The sequence below is a fragment of the Homo sapiens genome, chromosome 7 (assembly GCF_000001405.40).
Source record: "Homo sapiens chromosome 7, GRCh38.p14 Primary Assembly".
NCBI lineage: Eukaryota > Metazoa > Chordata > Mammalia > Primates > Hominidae > Homo > Homo sapiens.
Genome location: NC_000007.14, coordinates 118,876,434 through 118,894,568, shown reverse-complemented (window position 1 = coordinate 118,894,568; position 18,135 = coordinate 118,876,434). Strand labels below are relative to the sequence as shown.

The 18,135-nt window shown below is 35.1% G+C and overlaps 1 pseudogene; it reads left to right on the top strand.

The window, feature by feature from the left end:
* Positions 13,307-14,148, top strand: GTF3AP6 (general transcription factor IIIA pseudogene 6; annotated as a pseudogene).

The following is an 18,135-nucleotide window of genomic DNA, read 5'->3' as shown; positions in this document are numbered from 1 at the left end:
CTTAAGTTCTATGTTAGCCATGTACTACAGAAAGGAAATGTTCATAATATAAAGTTTAAGTTGACTCTCCATTTTGTGCTCTACCAAGTAGTTTTATTATATTTTGGATTTATGAAGTTGTTCATCATATTATATGTTCTATTGAATTCCTTTTATGTCTCATATCTCTATTCTCCTAGTGAATCCAAGCTGTCCTGGGACTTCTAAATCCTCTCAATGTTTTCTTGATCCCTTGTAGTACTCTTTTTTGATCTATAATTTTTCTTCACTGAAGTAAAAGCAGCTTTCAGTTTTATGTGGCATCAGTAACTACACGTCTGAAAATTGATGTGTTCTTCCTTCACACTTGTTTGTATTTTGTCTAGGTTTAGAATTCTAAATTAAACATCATTATTTCCCTCTACACTCTCAAAACTCGGTTAGGTTGTTTTCAGCACCTATTGTTGCTGGTGGAAGATCTAATCCTCCTGTAACTTAGTCCTCTGTAGGTGGCCTATTTCTGATTTTTGAAAGTCATTGGGATCTTACATTTACGTTTGGCATTCTGAGATTTCACAAACTATGGCCCTTTATTTGGATCTTTATTTTTTTAATTGATTCATTGTTCTGTAAGTAGCAGTGGCATCAATTTGGAAACGCTCTTCAGGGTTGCTAAACTAACTTCTATTATTACCTGATAAATGTATATTTTAAGAAAACATGAATATTAGTGAGAATGAAAATATTTGCAGAAATATTAGACTACAGATCAAAACACAGTGAAAATAGTATTCAACCAATATGAGTACTGGAAAGAGAGAACAGATAATACAAAATTATCAAGTTAGTAATATAAATTATCAGCAGGAAATTATCTAGGTAATAATAGAAGATAGTTTGGGAATTCTGAAGAGTAAATGTCTCCAAATTGATGACACTACTACTTACAGCACATTGAATCAATAATAAAAAAAAAAGATCCAAATACAGGATCATGTTCTCTTGAATAATACATTCTACTTCTTTAGAGAAAGCCTCCCCCAACCAACCCTATGTGGCAATTTGGCATGCAGGATAAGGAAACGTATCAAGCCTTTTTTTTCATATGGACTTTGTATATTTCCTTGTCTGCAGCATCTCTTTCTCTTCCTTTCTATACAGTGCCAACTTTGCAGAATTCAGAGCCTCTCTGAAATTCTTACTCTCTATGGCAGATCAGCTCCCTTCTAATTCACTTGGACCAGAAACACTGCATAGGTTGTGGCTTTTTCAGCTGTTATCTCTTTTTCAATCCACTCTCATCTCCCAGAAATGTGTTTAAATCTTTTGTCTGTTGATTATTAAATTCTAGTTATTTTATTTGTTAAGAGTTTCTGTCTTTAAAAATATATATATTTCATGTTTATGATTTATCATGAAAGAAAATAATTTATATATCTATCAAGTCTGCCATCTTGAATGAAAAATTTTAAAATCATTTCTAATCTAATCAAGAATTTATACTTTTAATTATTAATTTTAACTATATAATGTAGCAATCTTGTGAAGATTGTAGAATTTACTAAACATCTTCATATATTGTACCACAGTTAGATGCACCAAAGTATATATACATAATTTAAAGGACTTTACTATATAAAGTTGGCATAAATATTCCTCAGATTAGTGTTATAGTGCGAGTATTTTGGGTTTTTTTTCTTTTTATATAAGCCTACATATGTTGGCAGAAGTGTAGAACAAATGGAGCAATAGACTTGGAGTTTAAAGATGTATATGCTAGTCTTGTTATGTCATTATCTGGCTATGAAATGTTAAATTATATCTTGAAACTCATCTATTTAGTAGTCGAACACATTAAACATTAAGGACATTTTAAGTTCTAAATTTCAATATGCAATCGTACATTTCTTCACTGAGTTTTACAGGTTCTTAAAAAAATAATTAAGCTTCACTTGCAAAAACTTTAATTTTTCATCACCTAAATAAAATTAAAACAAAATGTATTTTTTTCAGCATTATGGGGTTTCTTCTAAACTGGTAATAGTAATTGTAATGCTTTTCATTGTCACATCCTTTACAAAAAAATTATTTAATTAACAAGTTGATCAAGGTTACAGAGAAAGCCTAGGAGATTTATTACCTCTCTGAGCCAGGCTGGGGTACATGTTCTGAACCTTGTTAGACTTTGCCAGTCTTGCCATTATTAATTAGGCTAGGGAATAGCAACTGACCTAAGGAAAGACAACATGTAGCCCGGCCAGCACTGACACTCTGACCAAATATGTTTAGGTAATTAGATAACACATAAAGATTTTCTCTTTTGATAGTTTCAAGAGAGAAATATGAAAAGTTGGTATTTGGAGTACAGGCTTAAATTATACATATGGAAAGCTCATGAAGCAACAGTGTGTTATATTGAGCCATGAGTAAAGTTCATTTTGAGCGTGAATAGAAGCAGGTAATTAAGGCAAATGAAGCAGCTACACGAAACGTGTTATAGGTAATAATAACAAAATACCTACAAAATATATTTTAGAAAATCAACTACCTACAGGCATTTAAAAGTGGCCAAATCAAGACATAAAACAAATTAGATTTTATTTTTGAAACACCCATCTGCAAAATAAAGAGTTGTGAATTTGTGGCTTTCTTGCTTGGGTTGATTTTCCAACCCACATGCATGATTACAACGGTTGCAAAACTACAGAATTTTCAATTTAAGGTGATAGAGGAGAGAATTTGGGGCTGGAAAATTAATTGAAAACTTAAGTGAGAAATATTTAAAGCAAAAAAGCAACAGGAATGAGACACAAAATATGAGTAAAAATACTGCCCAAATTCCCACATCAATAACTAAAATATATATGTGTAGAGGTGGCACCAGGGGTTCCATGAAAAAGAAGGCTTGTCCGGAGTGGAAACTAATCCTGAAAGAGATTGACAAAAGATGAGGTTTCTGAGTTTCCTATATATGTTTTTAAACTGTATGCACTCCCCTACCCATTCCCATATCAAGCAGCAGAACATTAAACATTATTGGCTTCAGGTGTCAAAAGATTGAAACGTTCAAGGCTTGCAGAACAACTGGTAATTTAAATAAGTATCCAAACAAGAAATAGATAGGTAATCCTCCTTCCAAAATCTAATCATAAAACCTCCCCAAATTATTGGGTAATTATCAAACCAAATAGTCACAGCAACGATCCACAGGGCCAGGATAAAACAGCAGCAGCTGGAATCTATCTGTACTAAGTAAAAGTAGCTGCTGTACTCTGGGAGAGAAGAAATTCAAGTGCAAGCAAGTTAACTGACTATGGATCAAACAACAACAACAACAAAAAGTCATCAAAATCATATAACAAAATCCAGGGTCGACACGATGTATTATCTAAAATGTCATGTTTTCAAACAAAAATTACTACGGATGAAAGACATGAAAGTAGGACCCATACTCAGAAAAATATATCAGTTAAGAGAAATTGATGATAAGCAGTTGAATTTAATGTACTATGACTTTAAAACAACTACTGTAAATAATCTTCAAGAATATTAAAAGTTGTTTTCAAACAACTAAAAAAAATCCTACTGTGAATAGATAAGATATATTAATAGATGATTTACAACTATACAAAATGGAAATTCTAGAACTAAAAACTAATACTGAAATTAAAAATTCAGTAGGTGCCATAAACAGCATACTAGAAATGGCAGAAGAAAAGATTAATAATTGAAAATATGAATATAGGTTACTCAATCTGAAATATGCAGAAAAAGAAGATTTTTAAAAAATTAACAGTTACTTATATGTAGAAAACTATCAAGAAGTTTAACGTAAATGTAAATTTAGTCATAGAAAGAACAAAGAGAATGAAAATGAGTAGCAAAAAATATTTGAAGTGACTATCAAACACTTTCATAATTAGATAAACAATACTAACTTACAGGTCCAAGAAACAAAAAGAAGTATAAATCTGAAAGAAAATTCTTTAGTCTAAGCAAAATGTCGTCAGATACTACCTTGAATATGTTGGAAGAAATGAAGAGCATCAGAAATGGTAAATATGTGAGTAAATTAAAAGTATACATATATATTTTTTACTTCTCTAAATATTTTTAAGAGAATATATGTTCATTTAAGGTAAGCCTTATAATAATTTATGTAATAATATATAATAAGTAATAATATATAATCATTTGTATTATAATGTGTAATGACACAATATATATGTCAATAGTAGCTCTAGGTATAGTGAGTAAATGAAAACATATTTTTGTGAGGTTCCTATACTGTACCTGGATTAGCACAATATTAACTTGAACTAGATTGTGATAAGATAAATACAGTAATATCCAAGGCAACCACTAAAAATAATACAATGGGATATAGCTAAAAAATTAATATATATGTTTCAAAAAAATGCTAAAATTTCCTCATTCATTGAAATTTTATCACGAGATTTATCCTGAGATTGCAACAATTAAGTCTCCTCTTTAGGCTCCACTTCTGATTTTAGTTCTCTTGGTATTTCCAATACATCTGCAGTTGCATCCTTCACCAAAGTCTTGAACACCTCAAAATCATTCATGAGAGTTGAAATCAACTTCTTTCAGACTCCTGTTAATGTCAATATAATATTTTAATTTATTTTACCTTACTTTTAAGTTTTTTAATTTTTTATTGTTGTGGGTACGTAGTAGGTGTATATCTTTTTGAGGTATATAGTATATTGTGATACATGCATATAATGTCTAAAAATTGTGTCAGGGTAAATGGGGTATCCGTCACCTCAAGCATTTATCCTTTGTGTTGCAAACTATCCAATTATATTATGTTAGTTGTTTTTAAATGTAAAGTTAAATTATTATTAACTATAGTCACCATGTTGTGCTATCAAATACTAGATCTTATTCAATCTAACTATATTTGTGTATCCACTTACCATCCCCATTTCCCTGCCACTACCCCCACTATCCTTACCGGCCTCTTGTTACCATTATTCTACTCTCTATCTCCATAAGTTCAACTGTTTTAATTTTTAATGCACACAAATAAGTGAGAATATGTAAAGTTTGTCTTTCTGCGCCTGGCTTTTTTCATTTAAAATAATGACCTCCAGTTCCATCCGTGTTGTTGCAAATGACAGGATCTAATTCTTTTTATGGCTGAATAATAATCCATTGTGCATAAGTACCACACTTTATTTATTTATTTATCTATTGATAGATACTTGGGTTGCTTCCAAATCTTGGCTATTGTGAATAGTGCTGGAATAAACATGAAAGTGCAGTATCTCTTTGATGTACTAATTTCCTTTATTTTAGGTATACACTTAGGATTGGAATTGCTGGATCATAAGGTTGGCCTATTTTTCGTTCTTGAGGGACCTCCAAACTGTTCTCCATAGTGGCTGTACTAATTTACATTCCCACCAACAGTGTACAGGGGTCCCCTTTCCCCACATCCTCACCAACATTTGTTATTGCCTGTCTTTTGGATAATATCTACTTTATCTGGGTGAGGTGATATCTCATCGTAGATTTGATGTGCATTTCTCTTATGATCAGTGATGTTGAGCACCTTTTCATATACCTATTTGCCATTTTTATGTCTATTCAGACTTTTTGCCCATTGTTAATTGGATTATTAGATTTTTTCCTATAGAGTTGTTTGAGCTCCTTATATATTCTAGATATTAATCCTTTGTCAGATGGGTAGTTTGCAAATGATTTCTCTTATTCTGTGGGTTGTTGCTTCACTTCTTTGATTTTATCCTCTGCTGCATAGAAGCTTTTTAATTGGATGTGACTCCATTTGTCCATTTTTGCTTTGATTGCTTGTGCTTGTGGAGTATTACTCAAGAAATCTTTCCCTCATCCAATTTCCTGGAGAGATTCCCCAATTTGTGTGTGTGTGGGGGGGGTAGTTTCATGGTTTGGGGGCTTAGCTTTAAGACTTTAATCCATTTTGATTTTATTTTTGTGTATGGTAAGAGATATGGGATCTAGTTTTATTCTGCTGCATATGGACATCTGGTTTCCCCAGCACCATTTATTGAAGAGACTATCCTTTCCACAATTTACGTTTTTGGTTGCTTTGTCAAATATTAGTGTAATATAGATGTATGGATTTGTTTCTGGGTTCACTGTTCTCTTCCATTGATCTGTGTGTCTGCTTTTATGCCAATACTATGTTGCTTCAGTTAGTATACTCCATAATATTAATATAATTTGAAGTCAGGTAGTGTGATTCCACCAGGATTTTTCTTTGACTGGGGATAGCTTAAGCTATTCTGGATCTTTTGTGGCTCCATATAAAATTTAAGATATTTTTTTCTATTTCTGTGAAGGATATCTTTGGAATTTTTACAGGCATTTCATTCAATCTGTAGATTGTTTTGGGTGGTACAGGCATTTTAAAAGTATTGATTCTTCCAATTCATAACCATTATTTTTCCCTTTTTTATGTTTTCTTCAATTTCTTTCATGAATGTTTTATAGTTTTCATTGTAGAGATCTTTCACTTCTTTGGTAAGTTTATTCCTAGGTATTTAATTTTATTTGTGCTATTGTAAATGGCATTACTTTCTTGATTTCTTTTCAGATTGTTCGCTTTCGACATACAAAAATATTACTGATTTTGTATGTTGATTTTTTATCCTGCACCTTTACTAAACTTGTTTATCAATTCTAGGAGTTTTTGGTGGAGATTTTAGGGTTTTCAAAATATAAGATCATATAATCTGTAAACAAGGATAATTTGACTTCCCTTCCTATTTTGATGCCCTTTATTCGTTATCTGAGTACTCCAACTAGGACTTCCATACTATGTTGAATGATAGTGGTGAAAGTGGGCATCCTTGTTGTGTTCCGGATCTCACAGGAAAGACTTTCATTGTTTCTCCATTCAGCCTAATACTAGCTATGGGTCTGTCGTATATGGGTTTTATTATGTTGAGATATGTTCCTTTTTTTTTTTTTTTTTTTTTTGAGATGAAGTCTTTCTCTGTCACCAGGCTGGAGTGCAGTGGCTTGATCTGGGCTCACTGCAACCTCCGCCTCCCAGGTTCAAGTGATTCTCCTGCCTCAGCCTCCTGAGTAGCTGGGACTACAGGCATGCACCACCACGCCCGGCGAATATTTGTGGGCTTTTTGTGTTTTTAGTAGAGAAGAGGTTTCACCATGTTGGCCAGGATGGTCTCAATCTCTTGACCTTATGATCTGCCCGCCTCAGCCTCCCAAAGTGATGGGATTACAGGCGTGAGCCACCACGCCCAGCTGAGATATGTTCCTGAGGATTTTTATCATTAAGCAGTGTTGAATTTTATCAAATTCTGTTTTAACATCAATTGAAATTATCATATGATTTTTATCTTTCATTCTGTTGATATAATGTATCACACTGATGGATTTGTGTATGTTGAACCATCTTTGTATCTCAAGAATATAATTTTCTCATGATGAATTAATTTTTAATGTATTGTTGATTCAATTTGCTAGTATGTTGTTGATAATTTTGCATTTTTGCATCAGTGTTAATCAGAGATAATGGCCTGTGAGTTTAGGTGGGTGGTGGTGTTGTTTTTGATGAAGATGATGTGTCTTTGACTGGTTTTGGTATCAGGGTAATAATACTGGCCTTATAGAATGAGTTTGGGAGTGTTCTCTCTATCTCTCTTTTTTTGGGGGGGTGGGTATAGTTTGAGTAGGATTGGCATTAGTTCTTCTTCGAATGTTTGGTAAAATTCAGCAGTGAGGCCATCAGCTCCCAGGATTTTCATTGCTAGGGGAATTTTTTATTGCAGCTTCAATCTCATCATTATTAATCTATTCATATTCTGGATATCTTCATGGTTCAATCTTAGTAGGTTGTATGTGTCTAGGCATTTATCCATCTCTTCTAGATTTTCCAATGTATTGGCATATAGTTGTTTATAGTAGCCACTGATGATCCTTCGAATTTCTGTTGTATCAGTTGCAATGTTTCCTTTTTCATCTGATGGTATTTATTTGGGTCTTCTCTCTCTTTTTTTTTTGTCTGGCTAAGAGTTTTTCAATTTTTGATATCTTTTCAAAAAACCTTTTCATTTCCTTTATCTTTTGTACTATTTTCTTTGTTTCAATATTATTTATTTCTACTCTGATGTGTTTCTACTAACGTTGGGTTTGGTTTGCTCTTGCTTTTCTAATTCTTTAAGATGCATCATTAGGTTGTTTTTTGAAGTTGTTATTATTTTTTGATATAGGCACCTATGGCTTTACACTTTCCTCTTGTTACTGCTTTTGCTGTATCCCATAGGTTTTGGTATGTTTGGTTTCCATTATCATTTGTTTCAAGAAAGTTTTCAATTTCTTTCTTAATCTCTTTGTTGACCCACTGGTCATCCAGAAGCATACTGTTCAATTTTCATGTATTTGGATACTTTCAGAAAGTATTCTTCTTGTTGATTTTTAGTTGTATTTCATTATAGTCAGAGAAGGTACTTGAAATGATTTCAACTTTTTAAAGTGTTTTAAGACATATTTTGTGGCCTAACATATAGTCTATCCTTCAATGACCCATGTGCTCTAGAGAAGAATGTGTATTCTTCAGCCACGGAATGAAATGTTCTATAAATATATATTCATTCCATTTGGTCTCTAGAGTAGATTAAGTCCAGTGTTTTCTTGATTATTTTCTGTCTGGATGATCTGTACAATGCCGAAAGTGGGGTTTTGAAGTCTCTGGTGATTATTGTATATGGGTATATCTCTTTAGCCCTAAGAATATTTACTTTGCATAGCTGGGTGTTTCAGTGTTGAGTATGTGTATACATTTACAATTATTATATCCTCTTGCTGAATTGACCCCTTTATCATTACATAATGACAGTCTTTGTCTCTTTTTATAGTTTTTCTCTTGAAATATATTTTGTCTGATGTAAGCATAGCAACTCCTGCTCTTTTTTTGCTTCCATTTACATGGAATATCTTTTTCCATCTCTTTATTTTTAGTCTATGTGTGTTTTATAAGTGATGGATATTTCTTGTAGGCAACAGGTTTTTGGATCTTATTTTTAACCATTTAGCCACAATCTATATCTTTTGAATGAACAGTTTGGTCTATTTATTATACATTCACTGTTACTATTGATAAGTAAGAACTTACTTCTACCATTTTGATTATGTTTTATGTCTTTTTTGTGGTCTCCTCTTCCTTCCTTCCTTCATTCTTTCCTTCTTCTCTTTCTTTTAGTGAAGGTAAATTTTTTCTCTTGGTATATTTTAATTTCTTGCTTTTATTTTCTGGGTATCCATTGCAGTTTTTAAATTTGAGTTTACTATGAGGCTTGTAAATAATATCTTATAACCCATTATTTTAACCTGATGGGAACAATACTGATTTCATAAACAAACATACTAATAAACAAGCAAAAAGAAAACTAATAAAAATTCTATTCTTTAACTTCGTCTCCTTGCTTTTTAAATTTTTGTGGCTTCTATTTCTATCTTAGTGTTCTGTCTATGTCTTCAAAAGTTTTTGCAGTTATTACTTTGGATCAGTTATTTTTTTCATTTTTTGCTGAAGATATGAGTAGTTTACATACCACAATTACAGTGTTATAATAGTGTGGGTTCTGGGGTGGGGGGGAGTTGTTTGTTTATTTATTTATTAGTTTTTGAGACAGAGTCTCACTCTGTTGCCAAGGCTGGAGTGCAGTAGTGCAACCTCTGCCTCCCAGGTTCAAGCATTTATCCTGCCTCAGCCTCCCGGGTATCTGGGGTTATAGGCACTCACCACCGCATCAGGCTAATTTTTGTGTTTTTGGTAGAGATGGGTTTTCACCATGTTGGCCAGGATGGTCTCAAACTCCTGACCTCAAGTGATCCACCCACCTCAGCCTTCTAAACTGCTGGAACTACAGGCATGAGCCACTGTGCCTAACCTAGCCTGTTTTTTGTGTACTTACTATTACCATTGAGTTTGGTGCCTTCAGGTGATTTCTGATTGCTCATTACTGTTCTTTTTTCTTTCTGAATTAATTTTCATGAATTTCTCAAAACTCCCTTCAGCATTTCTTGTAGGACATGTTTGGTGTTGACAAAAGCCCTCAGCTTTTGTTTGTCTAGAAAGTCTTGCTTCTCCTCCATGTTTGAAAGATATTTTCACTGAATATATTGTTCTGGGGTAAAAGTTTTTTCTCCTTCAGTGCTTTAAATATATATCATTCCACTCTCTCCTGGCCTGTAAGGTTTTCACTGAGAAATCTCCTGCCAGACATAATGGACATCCATTGTTTATTATTTGTTTCTTTTTTCTCTTGCTGCTATTAGAAATCTTTGTTTATCCTTGACCTTTGGGAGTTTAATTATTAAATATCTTGAGATAGTCTTGTATATTTTACTTGAATATTGATATCTTTGTCTAGTTTTGGAAAGCTGTTATTATCCCTTTGAATAAACTTTCTACCACTGTCTCTCTTTTTACCTTCTCTTTAAGGCCAATAATCGTTAGATCTGCCCTTTTGGACCTATTTCCTTAGATATTGTGGGCATGCTTCATTGCTTTCTATTATTTTGTTATTTTGTCTCCTCTGACTGTGTATTTTCATAGCCAGTCTTCAAGCTCACTAATTCATTCTTCTGTTTGTTCAATTCTGCTATTAAGAAACTCTGATACATTCCTTAGAAGGGCCATTGCATTTTTGAACTTGAGAATTTCTGCTTGATTCATTTTAATTACTTCAATTTTTTGTTAAATTTATCTGATAGGAATCTAAATTTCTTCTCTGTGTTATCTTGAATTTCTTTGAGTTTCTGCAACAAAGATATTTTTATTTTCCCATCTGAAAGGTCATATATATCTCTGTCTCTCCAGGATTGTCCCCTGGTGCCTTATTTAGTTCATTTCCTCAGGCAATATTATCCTGGATGGTCATGCTTGTGGATATACAACAGTGTCTGAGCATTGAAGACTTAGGAATTCCTTGTAGTCTTTGCACTCTGCTTTTATTTTTAATCATCTTGCTTGGGAAGGCTTTCCAGGTATTTAAAGGGAATTGGGTGTTGTGATATAAGGTTTTGGTCACTGCAGCCATATCAATATTAGGGGCCACCCCAAGCCCAGTGAAACTGTAGTTCTTTCAGACTTTTTGGTGGTCTTGGATATGGTCTGGAAAATTTTTCTGGGTTACTATTCAGAAACTCTTGCTCTCTTCACTTACTTTCTCCCAAACAAATGGAGTATCTCTCTCTGCTGAGCTTCCTGGAGCTCAGGGAGGAGTGACATAAGCAGTCTCTGTTGCCTAGACAGCCTTTTAGGTTTATTTAGAACCCCAGATTACTTTAGCCTGAGGTGGTGAGGCTTAAAGAAATTTAGCTTTCAACTGTTGGTAAGGGCACTTCCCCGCTGGCTAGGGCTGGTCTAAATGCACCCTTCGTAGGCACCAGCTGAGTTCTTCCCAGGGCTGGCAGCATTCAGTTTCAATACAAAGTCCCCCGATCACTGTGCTCTCCCTCACCCAAAGCGCACAAATTCTCTCTCAACGCCATGCAGCCGCAGCTGGGGGATGGGTAAGGGGTGTTTTCAGCAATTCAAGAATGTCTTTTCTACCTTCTTCAGTGCTTTTTTCAGCAATAAGAAGTCAAAACCGGGTATGTGATTGCTTACATGCTGTTAGATTCTTATGAAAGTGCTTTTTGTGTAGATAGTTGTCAAGTATGATGTTCCTGCGGGGAGGATGATCAGTGAAAGCTTCTATTTGGCCATTTTGCTCGGACTCCTCATTCAAAGTTCACATTTTGACCTCCTCCCATGAATCACAAATATTGTTAATGGAAATCTAGAATGGTAAATCATTTTCAGGAGGTTTCCACTTTACTTTACACAGACCCATAAGAGGAATTACTGTCTATGGCAGCCTGACAAAATATATTTCTTGATGAGTAAGACTTAAAAGTCAAAATTACTCCTTGATCCACCAGATGCAGGATGTGTTAGCAGGCATGACAGTAATATTAATTTCCTTGTACAACTCTATCAGAGCTCTTGAGTTTCTAGGTGCATTGCCAGTGTGCAGTAATATTTTGAAATGGACCTTTTTTTCTGATCAGTAAGTCTTAACAATGAACTTGAAGTAGTCAGTAAACCATGCTTTAAACAGATGTAAGGTCATCCAGGCTTTGCTGTTCCATTTATAGCACATAGGCAAGGTAGACTTAGCATAATTCTTAAAGGCTCTACGATTTTCAGAATTGTAAATGAGCATTGGCTTTGAAGTTCACAGTTACATTAATCCCTTACAAGAGAGTCCACCTGTCCTTTAAAACTTTGAAGCCAGGCATTAGCTTCTCTCAAGTTATGAAAATCCCAGATGGCATCTTCTTCCAATAGGAGGCTGTTTTGCCTACACTGAAAAGCTGTTTAGTGCAGCCACTTCCATCCATGATCTTACCTAGATCTTCGGAATAACTTGCTGCAGGTTCTATATTATTTGGCACTTGATGCTTCACCTTTCACTTTTATGTTATGGGGGTGGCTTTTATCCTTAAACTTCATAAAGCCACCTCTGTGAGCTTCACATTTTCCTTCTGTAGTTTCCTTCCCTTTCTCAGCCTTCATAGAATTTAAGAGCATTAGGGCCTTGCTCTGGATTAAGCTTTGGCTTAAGGAAATCTTGTGGCTGGTTTTATCTTTTATCCAATCTGCTAAAATTTTATTTATATCAGCAATAAATCTATTTCAACTTTCTTATTATTTGTGTGTTCACTGGAATAGGAATTTTTGTTTTCTTCACAAACTTTCTCTTTGCATTCACTACTTGGTTGTTTGGTGCAAGAGGCCTAGCTTTCAGTCTATCTCTTCTTTCAATGTGCTTTCCTCACTAAACTGAATCACTAGTAGCTTTTGATTTACAGTGAAATATGTGTAACTCTTTCTTTCACTTGAACACTTAGAGACCATTGTAAGGTTATTAATTAGCCTAATTAAAATATTGTTATGTTGCAAGGGATAAGGAGTCCTGAGGTAAGGAAGAGAGAAGGGGGAATGACTGGTAAATGGTGCACTTAGGACACACACAAAGTGAATGAATTAAATTCATCATCCTATATGGGAGCTTTTTGTGGCACTTCAGAACAATTACAACAGTAACATCAAAAATCACTGGCCAGTGGCCAATTTATAGTATGTGGCTTAGTATGGAAACGCCTGGGCCAAGAAACACAGGCCTGAGCACCCTGAAGCCATTGACTTTGATCTCTGGTCTCCAGGATACATCACTGATGTATTCAAGGAGGCTGTGAGAGTCTAGCCCCGCGACTGCTTCTCCCTTCCCTTGTTCCCCCTTCACACACTTCTTAGGAGGGTCATCTGCTACTTCCCCAGTGTGGCACCACTTACAAAAAGGCCTGGAAGCTTAATGTGCACCTGTAATCACATGGGGAAGAAACCATTTGTTTATGACTGTGAAGGGTGTGGCAAGACCCACCTCAAGAGACTAACATCTGAGTTGTCATGTCCTGATCATACTGCAGACAAGCCATATGTTTGTGCAGCTAGTAGCTGTGATCTAAAAATTCAACACAAAATCAAACTTGAAGAGACATTTTACAGGCAAACATGAAAACCAGCAAAAAAAAAAATATACATATGCAATTTTGGAGGTTGGAAGAAGACCTTTACGAACATCAGCAGCTGAAAAACCATCACTGCCAGCATACCAATGAACCACTATTCAACTGTACCCAGGAAAGATGTGGGAAGCATTTTTCCCCATCCATCCAGCAAGCGGCAAGGCCCATGCGGGCTCTATATGTCAAAAAGCGTGTTCTTTTGTGGTGAAAGCATGAACAGAAGTTTTGAAACATGTGAGAGAAACTTATAAAAAGGAAACAACATATGAAGCAGGCCAGAAAACATTTAAACATTATCTTAAGCAACATATGAACACTCATGCCCCAGAAAGGGATATTTTTGACATACAAGAGAAGTCTCTGGAAGAACCTACACAACTGTGTTTACTCTACAAATCCATATCCTTTCCATGAGAAAAAAGGTGCCATTTTGCATGTGAACATGTTGGCTGTGGCAAAACATTTGCAATGAAACAAAGTCTTTCTAGGCATGCTGTTGTACATATTCTGACAAGAAGAAAATGAAGCTCAGAGTAATAGCTAGAAGAATGGATTCTGAATGTTCTTCACACAAAAATAATAAATGTCAGAGGTGATAGATATGCTAATTACCCTGATTATACAAATTGTATACACGTATCAAAATATCACACTTTACCCCATACATATGCAGAATGTATTCATGCAGAATGAATGTAGTATGTGTCAATTAAAAAATAATAAAAGCAAAAAATAAATTTCATTAAAAACCTAGCTTGACCTCTCATCTCAGTGGATATATCCCTCCTAAAATAAGAGCAAGACTTATTTTTGTCTCCAAGTGGAAGGCCTCCGAACCGTATGGAAGACAGGGTGGGCTCCACAGTCTGGATACTACCACAAGTATCATATTGCTTTATTCAAAGGACTACAGACCAATGAGCTTAGCTGTTTTCCCTCAGAAGCATATTATTCTTTATTAAAATTTTTGATGCAGAAAAAGGAAGATGAATAATCACAGATCGTCATAACAGATATGATAATAATTAACAAATTTAAATATTGTGAGAATTACCATGTAACAGAGAGTCATGAAGCAAGCACATGCTGTTGAAAAAAACCGAGCTGATAAGCTTGCTAGATGTAAGGTTCCACAAACCTTCAATTTGTAAAAATTGTAATGTTGTGAAGTGCACAAAAGCAAGGCACAATGAAAAAAAAAAAAAGTCATGCCTGTATGTCACAGTTGATATTTACTTAATCCCAATATAGTGCTAAGACTGGCCGAAGACATTGGTTCACAAGAGCCATTTTATTTTTTAATTTTCAGGATTTTTTTCAAGCAGATTTTTAAACTATCGATAGTTTGAATATGGTGATGAGGTAGTTACTTATACTATGGAGGCCTGCAAATTCTTCAAACCAGATTCCCTCCCTGAGGCCAGTTCTTAGACATTCGCAGCACATCGCTACTTAAAACTTAAAAACTTAATTCATAGTTGATACGGTTTGGCTATGTCCAAACCCAAATCTCATATTGAATTCCCACTTGTTGTGGGAAGGACCTGGTGGGAGGTAATTGAATCATGGGGGCAGGCCTTTCCCATGTTGTTCTCATGATAGTGGATAAGTCTCACGAGATCTGATGGTTTTACAAGGGGGAGTTTCCCTGCACAAGCTCTCTTCTCTTCTCTGCCACCATGTGAGACATGCCTTTCACCTTCTGCCATAATTGTGAGGCCTTCCCAGACATGCCTTTCACCTTCTGCCATAATTGTGAGGCCTTCCCAGCCACATCGAACTGTGAGTCCATTAAACCTCTTTATTTTTTTATTTTTTGCTCTTATTTCACTATTGTTTATTTTCTTTTTTTAAATTATTATTATACTTTAAGTTTTAGGGTACAATTTTGTAAATTGCCCAATCTTGGGTATGTCTTTATCAGCAGCATGAAAACAGACTAATACAATAGTATTACTGCAAATGTTGACATTAGTGCCAGTAAAACTAGGTTATCTACAACCAGCAATCTTTTACTTTAATGCATGTAAATTTTATATTAAAATGCAGTTTTATTCTTAATCACAAGTGAAGTTCATGAATATATTGTGAGACAAAGTAGCAAATGTTACAAACCACGTTTGCTCATTTCTGCTTGCTAGCAAAATTTCACAAACCCCTGACTTTGTTACCATCTGCAGCTCTCTCAAGGGAGGCTTTGGAAATAAAACAGGATAGCGTGCAGAGCCCTCAGTGTCTCTTGTCTGAGCTACTATATTTTTCTTAAAAGATAAAGGACCCTAGTCCTTGCCTTTCCCTGCATATAAGATAACTTCTGACAGGGGTAGTGATTATGCTTCTGTAATCTATAACCAAATGTACCCTTACACCCAAAGCTTGATGTGATTCTGCTTTAATGTAACTCCTGAGCAAGTCTGATGTGATTTTGCACATACTGAACCCCCACCACTTGTATATAAGCAGTGGCTGAAACACTAAGCAGGAGCAGTCTGGCAGAACTGCCCTACAGCTACAGGCTTCAGTCTATAGTCTTCAGTAAGACTTCTGAATAACACTAACTTTAATCCTTCCAAAGCTTGACTATGTTTTCTTTAGTAAACAATATTTATATATTTTTGTTATAATTCACAAAATGTTATATTGATAAAAAGTGTAGACTCTGTAGTTTCAAAGTAAACAAAAATATTATAACAAATATTACAATTTAAAGAATATAGTATTAATATAGCAACACTACATTGTTAAAACATCAATCAGAATACAGAATATACTATATGATCCAGAATGACTCGAGGCTTCCAAAGAGAAGAGTAGCAACATTTTTTTTGATCCCATTTGTTTTTCAGTGAAGTAATAAAGTGGGCAAACAATCATCAACACAGCAATGATTCAGAAAATAAAAATCTAGCATTTTCATGCATATTTAGAAAACCAATCCGTAAAGTTATCCACTGAATCCAACATATCATTTTTATAAAAGTAGTTTGACAATAACATAATTTACTTTCTTAGGAAAAAGCTTTTTTCTAAGACCTTGAAATCAAAAGCAATTCACTATAGATGAAGAACAGGACCTGCTAAGAGGAATGTGGGAATAACATTGATTGAGCATGCTATGTGACAAGCAATATGTTAGGCTCTTTTCACAATCCGTGTAGCAATTTTTAAAAGAATATTGTAGCTTTATTGTCTTGAAGAGAAAAGGACTTGAAATTTTATGGCATATTTTTAGTTTTAAATATTAAGTAGTTTGTTTTAAAATGTGCTTATTTGGATACATGAAATAATTAGTTACAAATTTAGTAGAAATTTACTTATTAGTACAATAATAAAAAAAACTTTCACCCAAAAGTTGTAAGTAAAATACTCTCAGCACTTACTATCTATTTAGAAAATCTTTGAAACTACCCCCAAACACTCAGTATTTCCTAGACAGGATCCCTGGCAGAGAAGACCTGAGTTTTGTATTGTCTTGACCTCAAGAGAAGTTAATAATATACCAGCAATGGCCATCCAGAGGCAAATACTCAGGCCTTGAACCTCTCCTGCTTTTGATGAAGGGTGAGAGAATATGGGAAAACACCAGTCCCAGCTCATTTTCGTGTCTAAAACATCCAACAAATCTACCCCTTTCCTTCCTCCCTTCCCTTCCTTTCCCTTCCCTTTTTCCTTTCCTTTCCTTTTTCCTTTATCTTCCAGTTCCCCGTCCCCTTCCTCTTCTTTCCTTTCCCCTCCCCCTCCTTCCCCTCCCCCTCCCCTTCTCCTTCTTCCCCTCCCCCTCCCCTTTTCCTTCTTCCCCTTCCCCTTCTTCCCCTTCCCCCTGCCCTTCCCCTTCTTCCTCTTCCCCCTCCTCTTTCCTTTCCCCTCTCCCCTTCCCCTTCCCCTTCTTCCCCTTCCCTTTCCCTTTTCTTTTTTTTTGAGACAGTCTCTCTCTGTCACCAGGCTAGAGTGCAGTGGTGAGATCTCAGCTCACTACAACCTCTGCTTCCTGGGTTCAAGCAATTCTCCTGCTTCAGCCTCCTGAGTAGCTGGGACTACAGGCTTGCACCACCATGCCCAGCTAATTTTTGTATTTTTTTTTTTTTTTTTTTAAGTAGAGATGAGGTTTCACCACGTTGGCCAGGATGGTCTTGATCTGTTGACCTCGTGATCCACCCAACTTGGCCTCCTAAAGTGCTGGGATTACAGGTGTGAGCTACCGTGCCTGGCCTCCTTTCCTTTTTTAAAAATAAAAACATAAGAAGGCTGAACTAACTTGTCAAAGTGATAGTGTGATAGTCTAAGTAAAGGGCAAATCCAGCAAGATATGGAACTCATGAAAGCCTAACTCCAAAAGTCATGTTCTAACAGTCCCTGGTAAACTTGAATAGCACAGAAAATTATAATGAGACTATTTAAATAAGGAACAAATGTTTCCCTTTCTCCTGTCATCTTGCTGAGTTTGTTATGTTACTCTTCATTGACACTTAATCTTATATTCTGTTGTATTGCATACAATTTTTTAAAAATATGTAGCATTCATTCAAATTATTCTATGGTCAAATT